This window comes from Homo sapiens, chromosome 2 (genome assembly GCF_000001405.40).
Source record: "Homo sapiens chromosome 2, GRCh38.p14 Primary Assembly".
Classification (NCBI taxonomy): Eukaryota; Metazoa; Chordata; class Mammalia; order Primates; family Hominidae; genus Homo; species Homo sapiens.
Window position 1 is genome coordinate 3396656 of NC_000002.12, and position 20765 is coordinate 3417420.

Consider the following 20765-nt stretch of genomic DNA (forward strand, 5'->3'; position numbering starts at 1 on the left):
GTTAAGTTTAGAATTTCTACTGCTGTCCTTAAGTTCACTTATCTTTTCTTCAGACTTTTTAGTTTGCAGCTAATCCTATTCAGTGACTTTTCCATGTTTTTTACCTCTGGAATTTTTATTTGGTTCTTTTTCGTATCATTTTTCTTTTATCATTTTCAAGCTTTACTTTAAACTCTTGAGAACATTTATAAGAGGCACCTTAAAGTTGTCTTCTGAGCTGGGTGTGGTGGCATGTGCCCATAGTCACAGCTACTCAGGAGGCTGAGGCAGGAGAATCACTGGAGCCCAGGAGTGTGAGGCCAGTCTGGGCAACATAGGCCTCTTTAAAGAAAAAAAAAGGAAAGAAAGAAAAGAAAAGAAAAGTTCTTATCTGAAAGTTCCATTATCTATGTAATATCTGCATCTATTTTTATGTACTTTTTCTCTTAGTTACGGGACACATGTTTTACATGTCTAGTAATTTTTTATTAGAAGGTGGACATTGTGGATTTCAGGTTGTGTGTCTAGCTTTTTCATCTTCCTTTGAAAAGACTTGCCCTTTATTCTGACAAGCAAGTAACTTATTTACAGATTTAGTTTCATGTTTGTTTTTAGACTTTTTAGAATGACTTTAGAGCAGTAGCTTCTACTTTTGGGTGACCTTTCTGAAGTCTGTACTGAATTCCCCTTCTGTTCAGTGAGAGCACTAAACATGGCAGACCCACAGTCAGCACCCTTCAGCCCTGTGTGAGCTCTGGGCTTGCCAGCTCACAGGACTCTGTCCATGGCAGACCCACACTCAACACCCCACAGCCCTGTGTGAGCTCTGGGCTTGTCAGCTCACAGCACCTCATCCTTTCCTGCCTTCAGAGCTGCACTCTCTGCACATACAGCTGAGTGTCAGCAGTAAACTCAAGGGCTCCCACACAAACCCTTTCTCTGCTTAGCTCCCTCCTTTCTAGATCTCTGGATATAAGAATTATCCAGTTTGTAAGTATGTTCCAAAACCATTTTCTAGTAAATTATGTTATAAATTGTAGCTGGGTTTTTAGAATAAACCACAAAGGATTATGTAGGTGGAACTTATTATATAGAGATAATGTATATTCTTTCTGACACATACACTCTCACACTTTCTCTGTCTCCCATTGTTGTTAATAATTTAGCAAAATAAGAATGTTGGGAAAGCATATTTGAGTACAGTCTCAAGCTCATCAGCCCACCCGCCTTAACCTCCTTGATGTCCCAAACCCTGCTTGGGATTCTCCTCCTGCAATGTGGTCCAAAAAGTGCCATTGGGTTCAAGAGTTCAACTCATGTTTTCCTTCTGTTGGGTCACAGTCCTTTGCTGTGTCTGAAGACAGTTGTTAGATTTCTTCTGAGCAATGTTGCAGTTGTTCACATCAAGACAGTCCAGTCCCAGTTACCCTGAAATGGACAGAAGCAAATTACTGCTGCTTTTTATTCATTCATCAGTTGGTGGACATTTGGGCTGTTTCTACCTTTTGGCTGTTGTGAGTAATGCTACTGTGAACATTCACACACAGGCGTTTGTGTCTATGTGTTCTCAGTGATCTGGGATGTATAGCTAGGTGTGGACTTGCTGGATTCTGTGGTAACTCTGTTCAACATTTTGAGGCCCCGCCAGACAGTTTTCTAAAATGGCTATTCCATGTTGACTCCCCACCAATGATGTGGTGTGTGAGGGTTCCAGTTGCTCCACATCCTTGAGTTTGGGTTTGGGTTTTAATTGTTGTGGTTTTTTTGTTCAGGTGGTCTCATTTTTCCCTGGAGTAAGCAAACACTGGATCAGAGGATAGACCCTGCCAGGATAAACAGGCACCTTTCTGCATTGGCGATGTGGCAGAAAGCTCAGCGTGTTCTGTGCCAGGTGCAGGGGCTGCTGCCTTTCAGCAGCGCTACCCCGTGAGCATTTGTGTCTTTGGGCTTCCCAGACAGTAAGGCCCATACGCTTTCAGTCCACTGCTCTGGCTTCTGTTTTGTCTTTCACCATCAAAATCAAGAAGGGACTACTGAGACTATTCCCCCATTGCAGGAAAGGCAGCCAGGCCCTAACCGCCTGTCAGCCGTGAGAACAGCCACTTGCTCCTCCATAAATGCACCTGACCAGGAGAATGGGGTGGCGACATCACGATGAGTCCCAGATTGTGATATATTCATGTGTTTCCTTCGTGTTCCCTGAACCTTGCCCTGGATAAAGTAGACCCTCACTGAATGGCTTGCTGGTCTGAAGGAATCATTGGTTCTAGCTGGATTCCATCCCAGGTGTAGTAGCACAGCTCTCTAGAAAGCCCTGGGGGAAGTTCCCTCCCCCTCCCACCTCCCCTGCACAGTAACGGCTAGAGGAGATGCAGTACAAGCGTCTCCACCTCCCTGCGCTGTCACCACCTTCAGTTAGCCACACAGCAAGGGCGAGGTTTGTCCTAAGACGCTTGTCACATCCTTGGCCCTCTGTTGGTGGGATATTTGATAGTCATGCATATGCTAGTATCTCAGGAACTTGCTGTGGTAGCTAAAATATTAACTAACAGAGAATTTTAAGGACAAGAGATTTTCACAGCATGGTCTCATTGATAATGTTGTGGGGATGGAGGAGTTGAATTGGCCCTCCGTCCCTGGCATTACAATTTGATTTTGCTCTTTACCCAGCTCGCTGCCCCCCTGGCTGAGATGCTCTTTGTCTGAGACGAGTTGCATTTTTGCAGAGCTTTATGGGGCCCTGTGTCTGAACTCTTTTATTTTGCCTTTTAATTATTGCTGCTAGATCAGTTAGCTGATTTTGTGGATCTGGTATTTGAAGTACTTCACCTTATGCTCTGAAAGCAGAAATTATACAACTGCTGCCCCTAGGTCTTTTCCTCAATGTGAGAAAACGTGAGGCTGGCCTCTGCGAGCACCAGGTTTAGCACCCAGGGAAGAGACAGACCTATGACCTGGAGCCACCCAGCCCCTTCTGCCGCAGGCTGTTGATCTCTCCTGGTAGAAGGGAGGCAGCAGAGCAGAGAAGCAATGTCAGCAGCTTTTCTGATTCTCTTGCTCTCATGGTCTAGATTCTGTTCTTCTTTTAAGTGTCACTATTTTGAAAGATAGCAAAAGATTGAAATAACCTTGCTTCTTAGGAGAAACAACTTCTATGCTTTTCTTTCCCCCGCTCCCCCCGCCACCGCCCCGCCGCCAAAAAAAAAAGGGTAGGAGAACAATAGGAAGAGATCTGAGCCAGCGGTGAAGTCCAGGCAGGGGGCACGCAGGCTTCTCTGCACCCTCAGTCACTGCGTGCTCCCAGTGGCCCGCCTGCAGCATGAGCATCAGCTTCTCTGTGGCTGGGAGGCAGCTTTGTGCTGAGATGGAGAGATCTTGGCTTTCTCCACCCCCCATCTTGGGGTTGTCCTAGTTTGAGTCTTTCTTCTGCTCACCCGAGAGACTGCAGGGACTTTGTGCTGTGTCCCTGTCAGCAGCTGCTGCGGGCCAGACGCCCAGAGCACGTGTCAGGGAAGATCCAGCCAGCTCCGGCTGCTTGCTGTCTCCAGGCATTTCAGGGACCTCAGAGCCACTGCTTCCTCCTCCCAGGATGCTCACTGTCTCTGGCATTTCAGGGACCTCAGAGCCACTGCTTCCTCCTCCCAGGATGCTCACTGTCTCTGGCGTTTCAGGGACCTCAGAGCCACTGCTTCCTCCTCCCAGGATACTCACTGTCTCTGGCGTTTCAGGGACCTCAGAGCCACTGCTTCCTCCTCCCAGGATACTCACTGTCTCTGGCGTTTCAGGGACCTCAGCGCTGCTTCCCTTTCCCCCTGGGCTGCTCTATCCCCCCAGCTGCCCCTGCCTCAGGTGTTTCAGGGACCTCAGTGCTGCTGCCCCTTCCCAGGTGCCTTTCCTCAGTCAGCAGCACCCCCAGAAAGGAGAGAGATGGTCCAGGGCTGTGTCCTGGTCCCAGCTGTGTGTGAGAGGCGTCTCCTGCCGCCCGTGGAGAGCATCGTGTCCTGTGAGCAGCCTTTACTTACCCTGGACTCTCCCTCGGCCTGCGGTGCAGCCACCGAAACAGCACTGAGGCCTGTGGACTGTGACAGTTTTCTCTGCACTGTTGGGATGACTAGTTTGTCCCCATACAACAGACTTGGTAACTTCAGGCCCTTCCCTGGGGCCCCTGAACTGTGCCGACTCCCGAGGGTCATGAAGGCTGGCTCGCCCAGCATCTGGGCTTGACACTAGCTGTGAGATTGCTCCCTGCTCAGGGCAGGTCATTGGCACATCTCTTCTGTCCCCAGGCCACACAAAAGCACCTGTTCTCCCTCCCCTTGCCCTTCTGTGTCTTCCCTTTAAAGCAAGTGGCATGCTTCAGATTCCACGTCCAGTGTTCTTCAGCACCGTCTAAAGATCGTTCTAATCAGAGGAGTCAGGTCAGGAGTAGAAACGGTCCCGTGCAGAGGCAACTGGATTCTTCCCTGGCTTGCAGCATGAAGTGCGCCCAGCAGCTCCTGGAGCAAGGCCTGGCTCAGCGAGGCTACCGAGGACCTGCTGTGAAAGGGGGTCTCAGTTTTCCTTTGGCTTGGCTGGTGACCTCAGCACTGAAGAGAGGGCCATTGGTAATTTAACTTCTTTAGCCCTAGCCCTCCAGGCTTTCCTGGAGGTCCAGGCAAGCATGGAGGCATTGATGAGATTTGGGAAGACTATTCAGGCCTGCCTGCACCAGCGCGAGGCTGGCCACTGTGGGTGCAGCCCCTGGTCCCCAGCAGTGTCACCTTCATGCTCCTGGGCCTCCCTAGGCCCCTCACCTGAGGCCTCTCTGCTGGCTTGGCTTTGCCTCTCACTACAAGCCTGGTAGTAGGCGGTAGGACTTACCGTTTCCTCTTCAGAATAAAGAACATGCTTTCTGATCAGTGGTGAATAAAGATATAATTTTTAAAATAAAAAGAATAAAGAGCAATTCTAAAATTATGCATTTTATTAACGATTGTGCTAATTTAGCTTCTGGTTAATTGAAGTTTTACGATACTATAACCGTTACTTTTACCTCCACAAGCCAGTGGAGAAAAAAGAAATTGTGTTTAGTTATGGGTTCTGGTTAGCTGAGTTTAGTTGACATTTTATTGTCTTGACATATTTTTCTTCTATTCTTCCCAGGGAGATGCAGTTAAAGACTTGATGCTTCGCTTTCTGGGTGAAAAAGCTGCAGCAAAGAGACAAGTCCTAAATGCCGACTCAGTGGAACAATCTTTTGTTGGATTGAAACAGCTAATCGTAAGTGACAATGTGTTTGATTTCAGTGTTGTTTTGTGATAAGTCCTGCCTGCCTTCATAATATTTTCTCTAGAAGTCAATTATTTTGAATATTATTCAAAGCTCTTGCACATAAGTAGAATTTTGTTGGAGTAGATGCCAGTCCTGTGCACCAAAAAGCATCATATTAATACATGGATACTTTTAAGCCTAATTAGTTAAAAAGCCATTATTGGAAATGATCAAATTACTCAAAGCAGTGCATACTTTGATTGAGTTTGCTTCATCATATATAATAGAGATAAATGATTTGTGTTCATTTTTTAAATATATTGCATTTTCTGCATTTTGTGTAGAAAGTTTATTATTGAATGGGTGAATTTCTGAACATTTTTAAGCTTTGTCATGAATTCTATAAGTAGGTTTTTAAAATTCATGGCTGGGCGCAGTGGCTCACACCTGTAATCCCAGCACTTTGGGAGGCCAAGGCGGGCAGATCACAAGGTCAGGAGTTCAAGACCAGCCTGGCCAACATGGTGAACCCCATCTCTACTAAAAATACAAAAATTAGCTGGGCATGGTGGTGCGTTCCTGTAATCCCAGATACTCAGGAGGCTGAGGCAGGAGAATCGCTTGAACTGGGACCCGGGAGGTGGAGGTTGCAGTGAGCCGAGATCACACCACTGCCACTCCAGCCTCGGCTACAGAGCGAGACTCCGTCTCAAAAAAATAAAAATAAAAAAACATTAGTACTGGATCACCATTGCTGTACAGGTTGATTTGTTTCCAATGAATTTATAATCTTAAAGACAGCTGTAATTGCGTTGGGTAGCTTTTCTAGATTAAGGAGAAGATATTGGAAGTTTGTCGCGTATGTTTCCTTCAGGAATCCTATGGTAGCCATGGGGTAAGTACTCTGAAATGAGAGCCCCATCTCACACCGAATCTCAGCTCCCCAGTGTTGTCTCCTTAGGGGGCTGTGGAATTGCTCTGCTAGCTCATCCACACGGTTGCCTAGAGTGGACTTAGCAAAGCCATGCTCCCATGCCTGCATGCAGTCAAGTTAGTGGGCACACTTTCTTGAAGGGGTTTGGAGAGTGAGGTCCTTGATTTTGGGAATAAGTCCCACCGGCTGTCTGAAACTCATGTTGAAATGCGCCCTTATCCTGACTGTATTTCAGCGGCACATGGTCCAGACACTCTCCATTTGGGTGAACAATCTGGAGGACATGTATTCACCTTTCAACTTTCAAAAAAGAGAATGGAATTTCCTAATTTACTTATTTTTCTAATAGTTCCCCATCTTGTTTTTCTCAATTGTTACTAATTCTTCTGCACCGGGCTTCAGATTTCACCAATTTTTTTTTTTTTTTTTTTGAGATGGAGTTTCACTCTTGTTGCCCAGGCTGGAGTGCAATGGCGTGATCTCAGCTCACTGCAACCTCCACCTCCCGGGTTCAAGTGATTCTCCTGCCTCAGCTTCCCGAGTAGCTGGGATTACAGGCGTGCACCACCACACCCGGCTAATTTTTTGTATTTTTAGTAGAGACAGGGTTTCACCATGGCCAGGCTGGTCTTGAACTCCTGACCTCAGGTGATCCGCCTGCCTCACCCTCCCAGAGTGCTGGGATTATAGGCGTGAGCCACCGCACCCGACCAGATTTCACCTATTTTAAGCAAACTTTAGTTCCTAAAGATATAATAGTTGAGAAGTTTAGAAATTTCTGGAGGATTAAACTTTGCAGCCCATTGAAATGACAGGTGAAGGTTAGCCTGTGAACTAAAACAGAAAATGAGAATGTTTTAAAGTTTATTTTGGAGTAGCGCGTGGCTCAGTCCCAGCTCAGAGGCAACTGTCTTTTGTGTGAAAACAGTAATATGTAAATCACTTACTTGCAAGAAGACTACAGTGAAGTTCAGAAGAAAATAATCCCAGTTCCTTTTTTGTTACATCACCTCTGCCTCTGTATTTGAAAGTGAGGTATAGCCTGTCCCCATTCTGCCAGAAATGACTGATGTTTGTGAGGCTGAAATCCTGAGCCAGGAGAGGAGTGATTTCTTGATCTTTAACAGGAGCATTTAACAAAGTAACAAAATTTTTTCCTTAATTGACTAGTTCTCTTGAATTCAGACAAATCCTTATTATGTGTGGTCTTGTGACTTCTGTGACACTTTAGAAGCTTTCCTGGGTTCAGTATGGATTGGGGACTGCCTGCTACGCTGACCGGGCCACCTGGAACCCCTTTGCCTGGGGCCTGGCTCCCGGCTGTGATGACCCAGATCGCGGTTGTGTGAGGGCCTTTCCGAAGCATGGGTGGGGGCTGTACTCTGCTGTGAGGTCGCGCAGGGACATCGTGCCCTGGGTTCCTGGATTTTCTAGTCCCTCTCTTCTGATTTTAAACTTCTCTTTGACTTTCTACTTTCTAGTGTTCTATTGTCAGCAGATCTCTTGCTTCCTAAGAGAGCCTAAAGGAAAAAATATAGAATCCTCCCCATTTTACTCAAAAGTCAGTTTCTTATATTCTTCTCGATCTTGATTTTTAACTTCCTTTGATCCCTGATCTTTTTCCCAAAAAAATCTTTTTTTGGAGTTTTGCCCAAAAAGCCTGTTTTTGAGAAAGTACCGAACATTGGCAAAGCAGCCTTAGTTACTTGGATTTTATCCTGACTTCATTATATGCATGAACTGGGAGGTGACATGTCATCAGTGTCAATAACAAATGCTGTAACTTGGGGGAGACAGAGCCAACCTACAAAAATTAAAAATCTGTAATAAACACCGTGACAGTCAGGAAGCGTGTCTTGTTCACCAGTGCATCTGAGGACCCAGCACGGTCAGGCACAGAATGGGTACACGGCGTCTTCTTGAGTAAATAAAGGGATGAGGGAATGAATAGATAAGAGAACCCCCAGTCGGTAAGCTACTCTTTTGATAAAGAAGTAGCGTCAGAATGTTGGGTTTAAAGAAATAGAGAAGGAGCTCATACAAAAGGATAGAGTGGGGGGCGGTTACGGGGGAGGGGGCGCAAAGAGTGAGGAGATGAAACCACAAGAAGATTAGTCTGGAGAAAGATGGAACATTTCTTCCTCTGCAATGACAGAAAAGGAAAGGAAGGATTTGAAAGGAATGAAAATCGAATCCAGCACATTTTCAAACTGTGATTCTGAGAACCCTCGGGTTCCAGGGAGGGACCTTGGGGTGACTGGGCATGGCCTGCGGAGGTGACTTGGTAGGGCCAGTGTCAGGCAGAGCATTTCAGCAGGGTCTACTTTATGTAGAAGTCTCTCTTGAGATGTCTTTTTTTGGGGGGGTGGGGGGAAAGGAGGATGAATTTTACTATTTAAAAATTTGAAAAACTAACATAGTCCAAAATGCCCGCTTTGTAGATTAGAACACTAAGATCTACAAAGGTGTAGAGGTTGGCCCCAAACAAATGTCCTTGCTCCTGTTACCAGTACCATCCCTACTGCCCCATGTCCCTTACACAGTCCGCACAGCCCAGCAAAAAGCACAGTTGCTGGTGTTGGTTTTGCTCATTGACTACCTCCCACCAAATGACTTAGTATTTCTGAACCGTCGGATCTACACACCGTGGGAATTACGCTTTTCAATACAGCTTCTAGGACTGGATTGTATCCAGGGGTAGGATTTCCCATGAGAAGACCTTATATCTGATGGGATTCAAACAAACAAGTTCTCACTTGTGTTTCTTAGTGTATTCATTGAGCAAACACATATTAAGCCTCTTCTCTTTCCAGCAATAACAATAAAGGTTGCTAAGCTAGTGCTCTTGCTCCGTGAAGTTCTGCCTTCTTAACCATTTATGGGATTTACTCAGATTTAGAAGTGCTATTCTATTATTTTTAATTTACTTATTGCTGACTTGAAGCTCATACACTATTTTTAAAAGAAGTATATATTCCAGATTCACAAATTTATTGTAACTCTTATGATTCTTCATCAGTGTCTTCAGACACAGACACAAATTCAGCTGCACTCCTAACCCATGGCAGTGAAGTTTCTCTTTTCTCTCCTCATGCCCTGAATCCACTTCCCATAGGGAAGCTGCTTGTACTACATCTTGAATACCAGTTCCCACAACCCTGCTTCTGTAACTGGCGGGAATCCCGAGAGCTCCAGCATGAATCCCTCAGGCCTCTTGCCCCAGAGCAAAGTTCCCAGCTGTTCCCTGACTTGCAGAGACTGAAGGACCCTTCCAGACTCAGAGAAGCCAAACCTTCCCCAGAGACGCTTCCCTCTCCTCCTTCCTCTGCACCACGCTCCCCAAGCTGTGGAACTGTCACTCACATGGTCACGCAACATACACACACAGGTCTGTACTCATTAACTCGGAGTAAGCGCAAAAACCCAGGCAGAGACCCTCTCCTAAAATAGAAGCAGGAAATTATCTTAGGTGTAGGTGTTTGCTGTCTGAATCCTCTGGTAGCCTGTGAACCACTGGAAACTATGCTCCCCAAATTGCCTTTCTTCCCCACGTTCTTTACCGTATTTACAGAAGCGTGTCCTCAAAAAGGTAAACAAGCATCCCTTGCTTACCTTCACACATCACACCAAGTTTAAATGTGAGTCAATGTCAGTCGAATGCTTCTTTGAGTTTCTTTTACCAAAGTGATTCTGTAATTATTTCTATGATTAGAAAGCTTTGGAGAGGAGAGAGATGGAGATACTCTTTTTTAAAGGGGAAAAAACAGCTAATTTGTAAGTATCTGTATCCTTTATAATTTGCTAATGCAGTTACGGATCTCCAGGGTGGCCATTTCCCTGGCCCATGCTCTGTTCCCAAGGGTGTGGGCGTGGCCCCTTGGTTTGGCCATGGGGAAGCTGCTGTGATGTATCCTCTTGAGGCAGGAACTGAACTGGCAGCATGACAGGGCTTTATAATAATGGGTTTAAAAATCACACACAAAGCCATGCATGTTAATTATAATTAATTTTTTCTACAGGCTATTTTTTACCCTCTTTGATCGTTCCTGTTATTAATAAATATATACAATGGTTTGATGTGTTTCATACGTTGGAAATACTTGAGACCATCAGAAATTTTATTAACAGGCCTAACAAGGGAGCTTACGTAAGGTGAAAAATGTATTTATGAAAGGATCTTTACCTTGCCCTGGTATTTTAATTCTAGTGTGTCCTAAAATAATTCGTGTTGTCTTTAAGGCAGCCAGGAAAGGGTTTTTGAATTATTTCCCTAAGTTATGTCAGAGTTTCCTAAGATTGTAATTTACAGGGAAATGGATGTCACAGCCTGGGAGAAGGACGTGTTAATCACTTTAATGGTATCATATGTAGAGGTAATAATTCCCTTTGAGTCTTAGATGGAGAAAAGTTATGTACATGCCATTAGTTACTTGAGTGATTTTTATTAGACTATTTTTCTCATCATTTGGAAATTGTGTAATGCCTACGTTCAGTTTTTCAAATAGACCCTGTATCGTACTCCTAGCAAAAAAACGTAAAAGTAGTTTTTATCTAAAATCTTTATCTCATATCAGACTAACTTCATTATTAGAATTTTACATGTCATGTACAGTAATTATGAGATTTTCATAAGATTTCTTTCACAAAGTTTAAAGTTTTATGTGGTATACTTTAGATTCTGATTTTAAAAATAGTTTCTTTGCTTCATATTTCTGACATCTATCATTGAAAATAGAGGAGGGGGGAGGCCGAGGCGGGCAGATCACGAGGTCAGGAGATCGAGACCATCCTGGCTAACACGGTGAAACCCCATCTCTACTAAAAATACAAAAAATTAGCCGGGCGTGGTGGCGGGTGCCTGTAGTCCCAGCTACCCGGGAGGCTGAGGCAGGAGAATGGTCTGGGAGGCAGAGCTTGCAGTGAGCCAAGATCACGCCACTGCACTCCAGCCTGGGCGACAGAGCAAGACTCCGTTTCAAAAAAAGAAAAAAAAGAAAAAGAAAATGGAGGAGGGCCACCAGGAAGGGGAATAAGGTGGAAAATAATAAGATAAAAATAGCAAAAAACACACTAAGAAAATAAGCAATTATAATTTCAAATAGCAGACGGCATGCGATCATAAGAACTGGCTCTGGCTCTCACAGTAGCCACAGTCACATCCCACCTTGGAAGGATGTGCTGGTTCCTCCTGGCCGGTCGTCCCCTCTCCAGCATTTGTCCATTAAACAAGAGCCCTGGCTCTGCTAGTTCCACATCACCTCTTGGACAAGTCTGAAGATCAGAATGCTGAGGCTGTGCTCTGCCGAGGCTGGTAAAAATAAACCTCCAAACACGTGTGCTTGACATGTGTGGCCAAGGAAATGTCTACCGTGCCTCCAGTTGGAGGCTTGTACCAGGAGAAACACTAAAGAGGAGGGAAGCGGACAAGCCTATCACACTGGCAGCACCAGTTAGTAAGGGTAGGCAGCACACATTGTTGATTCGAACGTGAATTGTCTTGCAGAGCAATTTAACAATAGCTAATAAAGCTGGGCGTGGTGGCTCACACCTGTAATCCCAGCACTTTGGGAGGCCAAGGTGGGTGGATCGTTTGAGCCCAGGAGTTCAAGACCAGCCTGGGCAACATGGCAAAACCCCGCCTCTACTAAAAGTACAAAAATTAGCTGGGTGTGGTAGCACACGCCTGTAGTCCCAGCTACTTGTGGGGCTGAGGCAGGAGGATCACCTGAGCCTTGGAAGGTTGAGGCTGCAGTAAGCCATGATCGGGCCACAGCACTCCTGCCTGGGTGACACAGTAAAACCTTGTCTCAAAAAAAATTTAAAAAAAAATAATAATAACAATAAAGTACATGCTTTGTATAACTTTTGACTCAACAATCCCACTTTCAATTATATACTTTAGAAAAACTTGTACATGTGTGTAAAAAGACATTCAAGAATGTTTGCTGCTGTATTACTTATGTTACTTAGCCAAAAATTCTATTAAAAATCTTAATATTCAATATCCAAAAGAAGAGAATTATGTTATATGCAGTTGATCGGGCAGCACAGTGCGACCTGACCAAGCTCACTCTGTGCCGCCCTGGATATCCCACACGTGCACCTGTTCCCACACACGCTCCTTTCCTGCCCTGCGCGGCCCGCTGCGGCACAGAGCTATGTGCACCGTGGCTCCTGAGCCCTGCCCGGCCAGGGGCAGTCTCCTGGCGGCTGTGATCCTCTTCCTGAGGCTGCCACAGCTGTCTTGCAGCCCAGTCCCCTCTGGTGCCATGCCCTGGGCACGTCACTGTCCCTTGCTCACAACTTTGCAAAAAGTTAAGACTCTCTTCAGAAACTCCTGTGACCATGCAGTAGCCATCATGTCCTGCCAGGCCCCCGACAAAGGATATGATAGCAAAGCCTGACCTCAGCGAGGAGAGACAGTTATGGTCTCAGTTCATCTCCTTTGGTGTGAACAAAAATATTCCTGTGCCTAGAAATGTTTTTGAAATACAAAGTAAACTGGAACTATAGACAAATATTTTATATTCTCTTATCAGAAAAAATCACCATTTGGGAAAGTATAAATTGTAAATGGTAAATAATGTGTTTTCTTCTCTTTTTTTCCTTTAATGTTTTTCTAAATGATTATACAAAGAAAATCATCTGGCTGGGCACAATGGCTCATGCCTGCAATCCCAACACTTTTGGGAGGCTGAGGTAGGAGAATCAGTTGAGTCTAGGAGTTCAAGATCAGCCCGAGCAATATAGTGAGACCCCTTTATCTACAGATAATTTAAAAATTAGCCTGATGTGGTGGCACGCACCTGTAGTCCCAGCTACTCGGGAAGCTGAGGTGGGAGGATTGCCAGAGCCCAGGCCGTGGAGGCTGCAGTGAGCCCTGATCGCACCACTGCACTCCAGACTGGGCAACAAAGCAAGACTTTGTCTTTAAAAAAAAAAAAAAAAAAAAAAAAAAAAGGGGAAGAAATGAAAAAATCCTGTTTCTATTCCCTCTACTGATGCATCTGACTCTCACACCACATCTAAATTAGAGATGAAGGGGCTCTCTCAGTCACGTCTGCCCTGAATTGCAGTGGGGGCTCTCCCCAGCTGAGGTGTGAGGCTGGGTCTGGGCCTTGCCCCTTTGCTCCCCACTCCGTGTCCCCCAGCAGGTCTGCCAGCGCCGAGCCCTCTGCGCCTCCACCTGGGAGATGCAGGTGGAAAGGGCTGCCCAGACTCTCTCTGCCACGTGCTCTTTTGTGTTATCGTCTCAGGGAATTGGGTTGTTCTGACTCCTAGAAAATTGGCTCTCGGGTTGGTGTAAGTTTGTGTAGATATGACTGCATGTCATTTATAGACCAATCGATATTAACCAGTAAATTGCTCACTCTAATAGTGCACACTTAATCAATAGCAGCAATTATCCAAGTAAATCTTTCATATTCAGTCATCTGTGGAAAAATTATATTGGGAGAAACCGTAACAAGAGCATAAACATTTCTGCTTTCTATTTTCAGTCAGGAAAGAAGCCACTTTTTAAAAGATTTACATTTCCCAAAGAAATGAATAATTAAGATGGTAGGCATTTGCTTTATTTTTAATAGTTGTGATCTAGTGTGAGACATAGAAAATAAGTCTTAGAATATGAAATCATGGCAAAAGCTGAAGGCTTTTTATATGATATGTTTTACTATTTTTAATCATTTATGGAGTACTTTATGTTTGCAAAGCCCTTGCAAATAATTTTATTACACATGTAAATGTTTGATTGGTGGCGAGTATCTATACATAGTGGGTATAAAATGAGATGGAAGCCTTTACTGTAAAATATGTCTTACTTGTTTAAAAAATACGTAAGTATCCATAATCAGATCTTCCCGTTGATATGTTTTTGTGCCCACACAAATTCAAATTGCCTTTGAGGTCCATCAAATAGATAACAAATTGAGGGCCAGGCGTGGTGGCTCATGCCTGTAATCCCAGCACTTTGGGAGGACGAGGCAGGCAGATCACGAGGTCAAGAGATCAAGACCATCCAGGCCAACATGGTGAAACCCCGTCTCTAGTAAAAATACAAAAATTAGCTGGGCGTGGTGGTGCACGCCTGTAGTCCCAGCTACTCGGGAGGCTGAGGCAGGAGAATGGCTTGAACCCAGGAGGCGGAGGTTGCAGTGAGCCAAGATCACGCCACTGCACTTCAGCCTGGCCACAGAGCGAGACTCCATCTCAAAAACAAATAAAATGAAATAAAAAACAAATTGAGTTCACTGGGCTTTGTGTGGCATCACAGAATTGAACATCAGGAGATTCCATATCTACTGTATCAAAATCCTTTTGTTTTTCAGAAAAACCCAAAACTTTGCTTATGCTTTAGCTGCTATACTTAGTAGTAACTTACACCTTCCATACTTGTTGTGAAAATGCTGTATTATTTCAACCAGCCTGAATTTGGTTCCTGCATGTCAAGCACTGTTCTAGGTACAGAGACTGAGGGCGTCACTGTGTGGAGAGAAGTGACATGCACACGGTTGATTTCTGACAGGCCAGGACATCAAAGCGCTGTCTGCATGAGTGCTGATCCATCATTATTTTTTCATTCACAAAACTCTTTTTTCCTCCCTTCACAAATAGCAAGTTCCTGTATCTAAAAGAGAAAAGAAAAACTGAAAAAAAGATTGCTTATATAACCACTGTCCTTTTACATTTTAGTGTATGTGTTATACGTATGTGTGTGCATATCTATACTATACATAGTGTGCATGTATGAAGATGGAGATACATGTTTGTGTATATATGCTTAGGCACAAAATTCATATGCTTCTATCAATTTGTGTCTTTTTATTATGTATTATATATTTAGCATTTCCCCATATAAAAGGGTCTTTAAAAACATTTTAATAGCCACATAATCTGAAGTTATTGTAAATAATCTTAAGATGAACTGTCTTATACAGAATTCTACATATGTGATTGTTTCTTTAGGATAAGTCTTAGGAGGAGAATTCTGAAGTCAAAGGCTGTTCATAAATACTCCCCATTGTCGTTCAGAAGGTCATTCCAGGTTATGTTTTCCACAGCACCTGAGTGCACTGGCTGTAGCATCTCCTTGCCTATCCTGACTTGTATCTTTTTTTAAAAAAATTCTAATTTTTTTAGGCTAACAATGACATTTGCTTTTTATTTGTTTTGCTAGTGAAGATCAACTCACTAGTAAATTATAATTTGCATTTCTTTGATTACTAGTGTGGTTAATTAAGCATTAGTTTATTCTTGTACTGTCTTCTTGTAGTGCTATGAATTTACTGTCTGTTCCACAATTTTTTTGCATGCCAAGTGCCACACTAAAGAAATGCTTTTAGAAATTAAAAAGCAATGCATTAGATGCGGCCACTGCCCCAAGGAGCTAAAGGAGAAATAGGAATTAAGAATAGGAAGGTTTCACCATGAGCAGGAAAGGCACCATTAAGATCAGGTTTGAGGCTGGACATGGTGGCTCACACCTTTAATCCCAGCACTTTGGGAGGCCGAGGCAGGTGGATCACCTGAGGTCAGGAGTTTTAAGACCAGCCTGGCCAACATGGTGAAACCCCATATCCACTAAAAATACAAAAATTAGCCGGGTGTGGTGGTGGGCGCCTGTAATCCCAGTACTCAGGAGGCTGAGGCGGGCGAATTGCTTGAACCCAGGTGGCTGAGGTTGCAGTGAGCCAAGATCGCGCCACCGCACTCCAGCCTGGGTGACAACAGCAAAACTCCGTCTCAAAAAACAAACAAAAAGATCAGGTTTGAGGTTGGTTTGAGGGTGCTCATCTTGCAATGAGCAAGTGCAGGTGAGCTCTGACTGGAGCAGGGGCGTGTGAGGGCTCGGCGACACAGAGCGGCCAGCTACACCTTCATCTAGAACGGATTCATGTCATCTCCAACTCCAGGGTGGCCAGCTGAAGACTGGGCCATCATCTGTTCCGAATCATTGATATGATTGTGTTTCCTGTGACCTGTTCTGTTGTTTTAGACCTGGTCAGCACACTCACAACTTCAATGAAATTAGGAATACCTTTCACACAGAGCTAGGCACATAAGTTGATAAGTACAACCTGAAAAGGCCCAACTTAGCCGTGAGTGGACATAAATAGGAGTTGTATTACCACAAAAGTAAGGAAAATATGCCATGTACAGATATCTTGTTCATTTATTATACAAAATAAATGGTGGTCTTTGCTCCCAAAGACCCTTCCAGAAGAAAACAGTTGAATACTTTTAGTGCAGAAGGACAACTCCGGGTTACTGGTAGAACTTAAAAACTATTATTTACAGTTTCTCTTCTTAACTGTTTATAACTTTTGTTCATAAAAACTGGCAGTTTCCTTTGTCTAACCACTGCATACCCTCTTTCTTTAGGACTCTGGTTTTTCTGTTGCTTTTTGTACTGCTTCCATTTGTGATAGTCAAAAAAGTTGACTCCTTGGACTCAAGGAAATATGGTCTTGGTTTCTTTTATCCTGGGACAGCTAGTCATAGTAGTGGCAAAGGATTATCTCATTATCTTCATTACTCATTGTCATCCCAGAGAACCTTGATGAAGAGCTTTTAGATAAAACATGAATAGAGTGTCATTCGGCCAGTTCCGTAGCACCAGCAGCTCTTGTTGAGTGGTGTTCGGTTAGTGAACAGTTTTATAGTTTCTGAAAAGGTGACACACGTTCAATATCAAATTAACAAATAATGTGTACGTGAGTGTGATTGAATATCATGCAGCCATTATAAATCATGTCCCAAGAACATATTTGAGGATATAAGAAAGTTTTGAGTAAATGATACAAGACACTGTATGTTTTTTTAAAAAAAGACGACAAGGATGCATCTGAGAATACTGTGCCATTGTCCACAGTTGACTTTCTTTTTTCACTTCATACTTACTGTTTGTACTATTCCACAGTGTGCACAGGGATGAGGTGGTAGATGGGGGTGTTAGCTAACTCTGTTGAAGCAGCTAACCTGCCTGACAGTACTGTAAGTGTTTAAAAGGTGTCAGTATGCGTAATCATCTCACCAGCACCCGCCACCTTAGCCTGCTGTTTCTGCTGTATCCTCTCAGTTAGCTTACGATAGTACCCATTTGCCCTGGCCAGAATCCAGGACTTTTACCTCCTAAATAATTCATATGAGTGTTTGTCTCCTCCACCCTGCCCCTCCCCTCCTGTGCTAGTTCAGGCCTTGTTTCCTTGTGCCTTGTTCACTAAGCCAGCTCAGTATCCTTTTTATTCACGTAATACCCCCCAAAGAATTAGAAAACTAGGTACCCCTCACACATTTTTAAGCTATCTAAAATGTTTTATCATAAATTTAAATGGTTTCAAAGGATATAATTAATTTTTAGCACATAGTATGTTGCATATGTGATTTAATTATATTTCCATCAGCAGTAGGACTGCAGATTCAGCTCATTCAGTTTGGGAAATGTGACCCACTTGGCAGCCAGTACCCATCGTAACCAGTCACTCAAACCAGGCACGTGTGATCTCAGAAGAAATCTCACTTCGTCGTGTGATCCAGATAAGCATGGCAGTGGGGTCCTGGCAGCAGTCACTCCACTCTGGATTTAGTCCTTAGAATTCATTCTCTCCCTTCAAAGCCCCCCGGGTTCTTGTCCTCCCCCCTGCCGCCACCCTGGGGTCTGCCACTCTGGGGTCCAGCCTCTAGCTCCAGCTCCAGCTCAGCCTCACCCCCACCATCCCCCTGACCCCATCCCCCAGCTGTCCCCGCTGTGCAGTGCCTTGAACGTGCTCTGCCGTGTGTCGGCCCGTTTCCTGAATCCTCAGGCATCAGTGCCTCACAGAGCTGTGTGCCAGCAGTGTCCTCACAGAGCTGTCAAGCGTGTCCATGCCGTGCCGCTTGTGCCTCTGCCCCGCGAGGGACACCATTCCCCGTCGTTGACGTGCATTCCTCTTGTTCATCGTGCGAGACTCCCCACCCCTGTGCCACCGGTCTCGGTGTCTCCCACACTGGAGTGTCCGTATTTCATAAACACACGTATGTGTGCATGTATGTATTTCTTATGGACATCACGTACGTTGGCCCTTCATATCTACAGGTTCCGCATCCACAGATTCCACCACCCGCAGTTGGGAAACACAGTGAGGTATGCACAGCAACCTTTCAGCTGTGGTTGGTTGAATCCACGCGTGTGGAACCTGCAGATACGGAGGACCAACCAAGGACTTGAGCAGTCATGGATTTGGTATCCCAGGAGTCCTGGAACCGGTCCCCGGCAGATAGAGGGTCTGCTGCTTGTGTTTATGCATATGTGTGTATGTACAGACAGTCCCCAACCTCCGTGGTTTGACTTAAGATTTTTCAACTTTATGATGGTGCAAAAGCGCTCCCCTTTCGGTGGGAACTGTGCTGTGAGCACCCACGTGCCATTCTGTTTCTCACTCGCGGTGAATTCAAGAAATGACGTGAAATGTCCAACACTTTATAAAGCAGGCCTTGTGTTGGCTGATTTTCCCAACTGCAGGCTAATGTAAGTGTTGTGAGCATGTTTAAGGTAGGCTAGGCTATGCTGTGACATTCAGTAGGTTAGATGGTGCATTCACTTCTTTTCTTTTCTTTTCTTTTCTTTTGAGACAGAGTTTGGCTCTGTGGCCCAGGCTGGAGTGCAGTGGTGCGATCTCCGCTCACTGCAACCTCTCTCCCAGGTTTAAGTGATTCTCCTGCCTCAGCCTCCCAAGTAGCTGGGATTACAGGTGCTCACCACCACATCTGGCTAAGTTTTGTATTTTTGGTGGAACTGGAATTTCACCATGTTGGCCAGGCTGCTCTCCAACTCCTGATCCCAGGTGATCCACCCAGCTCAGCCTCCCACAGTGCTGGGGTTACAGAAGTGAGCCATCGTGCCTGGCCTGCATTCACTTCTTTTCTTTTTTTTTTTTTTGAGGCAGAGTCTCGCTCTGTTGCCCAGGCTGGAGTACAGTGGTGCGATCTCAGCTCACTGCAAGCTCCACCTTGCAGGTTCACACCATTCTCCTGCCTCAGCCTCCCAAGTAGCTGGGACTGCAGGCGCCCACCACCACGCCTGGCTAATTTTTTGTATTTTTAGTAGAGGCGGGGTTTCACCGTGTTAGCCAGGATGGTCTCGATCTCCTGACCTCATGATCCGCCCCCCTCAGCCTCCCAAAGTGCTGGGATTACAGGCGTGAGCCACCACGCCTGGCCCACTTACTTTCATCTCAAGATATTTCTAACTTACTGTGGGTATGGATGGAGCATCTGTGTCTGTCTTGATGCACTGGTAGCCATTTGTTCTGTATGACTGTCCCTCATGCCAAATTCATCTTTGTACTCCTGTTGCCTGACTTAGGACATACCTCCTCTTAGGTGCTTAGTAGATGCTTCTTAAGTGAGGGAGTGACTGGGTGCTTCTGTTAATATCAGTATGAACAGAGAGCTAAGCCTGCCCCACCAGCCCAGCCTGCCTTAAGGGCTGTCTTGTAACAGCTTCGCCTCACAGGCATTCGCACCGTGACTTCCACAGGTAGGTTTCTTTATTCCTTCCCCGAAACATCAGGGGCATTCTGTGAGCTTTCCTGTGTGTCCGCAGGGGCAGTTCTGTCCTTGGAAGCTGAGAGCAGAAGCACTGCAGGGCCCCCAGGCCACTTCCTAGGCACACCCCTACCCCTTCACTGTGCCCTCCCCCTACCCCTTCACTGTGCCCTCCCCCTGCCCCTTCACTGCCCTCCCCCTGCCTCTTCACTGTGCCCTCCCCCTGCCCCTTCACTGTGCCCTCCCCTGCCCCTTCACTATGCCCTCCCCCTGCCCCTTCACTGTGCCCTCCCCTGCCCCTTCACTGTGCCCTCCCCCTGCCCCTTCACTGTGCCCTCCCCCTGCCCCATCACTGCGCTCCCCCTGCCCCTTCACTGTGCCCTCCCCCTGCCCCTTCACTGTGCCCTCCCCCTGCCCCATCACTGCCCTCCCCCTGCCCCTTCACTGTGCCCTCCCCCTGCCCCTTCACTGTGCCCTCCCCCTGCCCCTTCACTGCCCTCCCCCTGCCCCTTCACTGTGCCCTCCCCCTGCCCCTTCACTGTGCCCTCCCCCTGCCCCTTCACTGTGCCCTCCCCCTGCCCCTTCACTGTGCCCTGCTGGGCAGCCTTCCTGGGCTGCAGGGCAGATGCTCTGTGGTACCTGCTCCCGCTCCTCTCAGGAAGGCCTTCCTCTCCCTCTCTGGGTCACCTCTCCCTGGCACATGCTTCTCCCAAACCTGCATCTCCAGTGTCTTCTCTCCTCAGCTACAACCTGCCATCTGCAGGTTTACCAGGCACTTTTCACGTGACTGTTCCACCATCTTGTCATTTTTTATATCTTCTGTCATTTTGTAAAACCCAGCTCATCTGCCTGCTGCGTCTCCATGTCCGGCCTGCCCTGGGTGGGTAGAGACAGGTTCGCGCTGTCCCTCAGATTTCCACGTTAGTGTTTTATTGGTTAGTTTGTTTCTGGGTCTCTCTCACCCTCTAGGGAGCAGCCACGGCTCCCCCCACCGCCCCCGCTGCCTGCTGCTCTCCTCCTGCCGGGCCAGGTGATGCAGCGTCTGACCACGTGCAGTCTTTAGACTGCCCTAGTCGGT

At 45.9% G+C, this 20765-nt stretch overlaps 1 protein-coding gene across 15 annotated transcripts in view, besides 5 other annotated features; it reads left to right on the forward strand.

Annotated features, from left to right (window-relative positions):
• Positions 1–20765, forward strand: part of TRAPPC12 (trafficking protein particle complex subunit 12) — a 99872-nt gene that overhangs the window by 16962 nt on the left and 62145 nt on the right. For all 15 annotated transcript variants that reach the window (XR_426956.4, XR_007076381.1, XR_001738761.2 and 12 more), the window contains one exon: positions 5122–5238. Coding sequence is in view for 11 of the 15 variants with exons in the window: in NM_016030.6 (NP_057114.5) it covers positions 5122–5238 (117 nt within the window). In the remaining 4 variants the exon portion in view is untranslated. The remainder of the gene's footprint in view (positions 1–5121; positions 5239–20765) is intronic.
• Positions 2391–3316: an enhancer, noted in NCBI's record as "H3K27ac-H3K4me1 hESC enhancer chr2:3402817-3403742 (GRCh37/hg19 assembly coordinates)". NCBI's record gives its function as "activates a minimal SCP1, AML or CMV promoter by ChIP-STARR-seq in naive H9 embryonic stem cells {active_cell/tissue: H9 hESC(naive)}" and the evidence as "EXISTENCE:reporter gene assay evidence [ECO:0000049][PMID:30033119]".
• Positions 3317–4242: an enhancer, noted in NCBI's record as "H3K27ac-H3K4me1 hESC enhancer chr2:3403743-3404668 (GRCh37/hg19 assembly coordinates)". NCBI's record gives its function as "activates a minimal SCP1, AML or CMV promoter by ChIP-STARR-seq in naive H9 embryonic stem cells {active_cell/tissue: H9 hESC(naive)}" and the evidence as "EXISTENCE:reporter gene assay evidence [ECO:0000049][PMID:30033119]".
• Positions 4243–5166: an enhancer, noted in NCBI's record as "H3K4me1 hESC enhancer chr2:3404669-3405592 (GRCh37/hg19 assembly coordinates)". NCBI's record gives its function as "activates a minimal SCP1, AML or CMV promoter by ChIP-STARR-seq in naive H9 embryonic stem cells {active_cell/tissue: H9 hESC(naive)}" and the evidence as "EXISTENCE:reporter gene assay evidence [ECO:0000049][PMID:30033119]".
• Positions 15414–15914: an enhancer, noted in NCBI's record as "H3K4me1 hESC enhancer chr2:3415840-3416340 (GRCh37/hg19 assembly coordinates)". NCBI's record gives its function as "activates a minimal SCP1, AML or CMV promoter by ChIP-STARR-seq in primed H9 embryonic stem cells {active_cell/tissue: H9 hESC(primed)}" and the evidence as "EXISTENCE:reporter gene assay evidence [ECO:0000049][PMID:30033119]".
• Positions 15915–16415: an enhancer, noted in NCBI's record as "H3K4me1 hESC enhancer chr2:3416341-3416841 (GRCh37/hg19 assembly coordinates)". NCBI's record gives its function as "activates a minimal SCP1, AML or CMV promoter by ChIP-STARR-seq in primed H9 embryonic stem cells {active_cell/tissue: H9 hESC(primed)}" and the evidence as "EXISTENCE:reporter gene assay evidence [ECO:0000049][PMID:30033119]".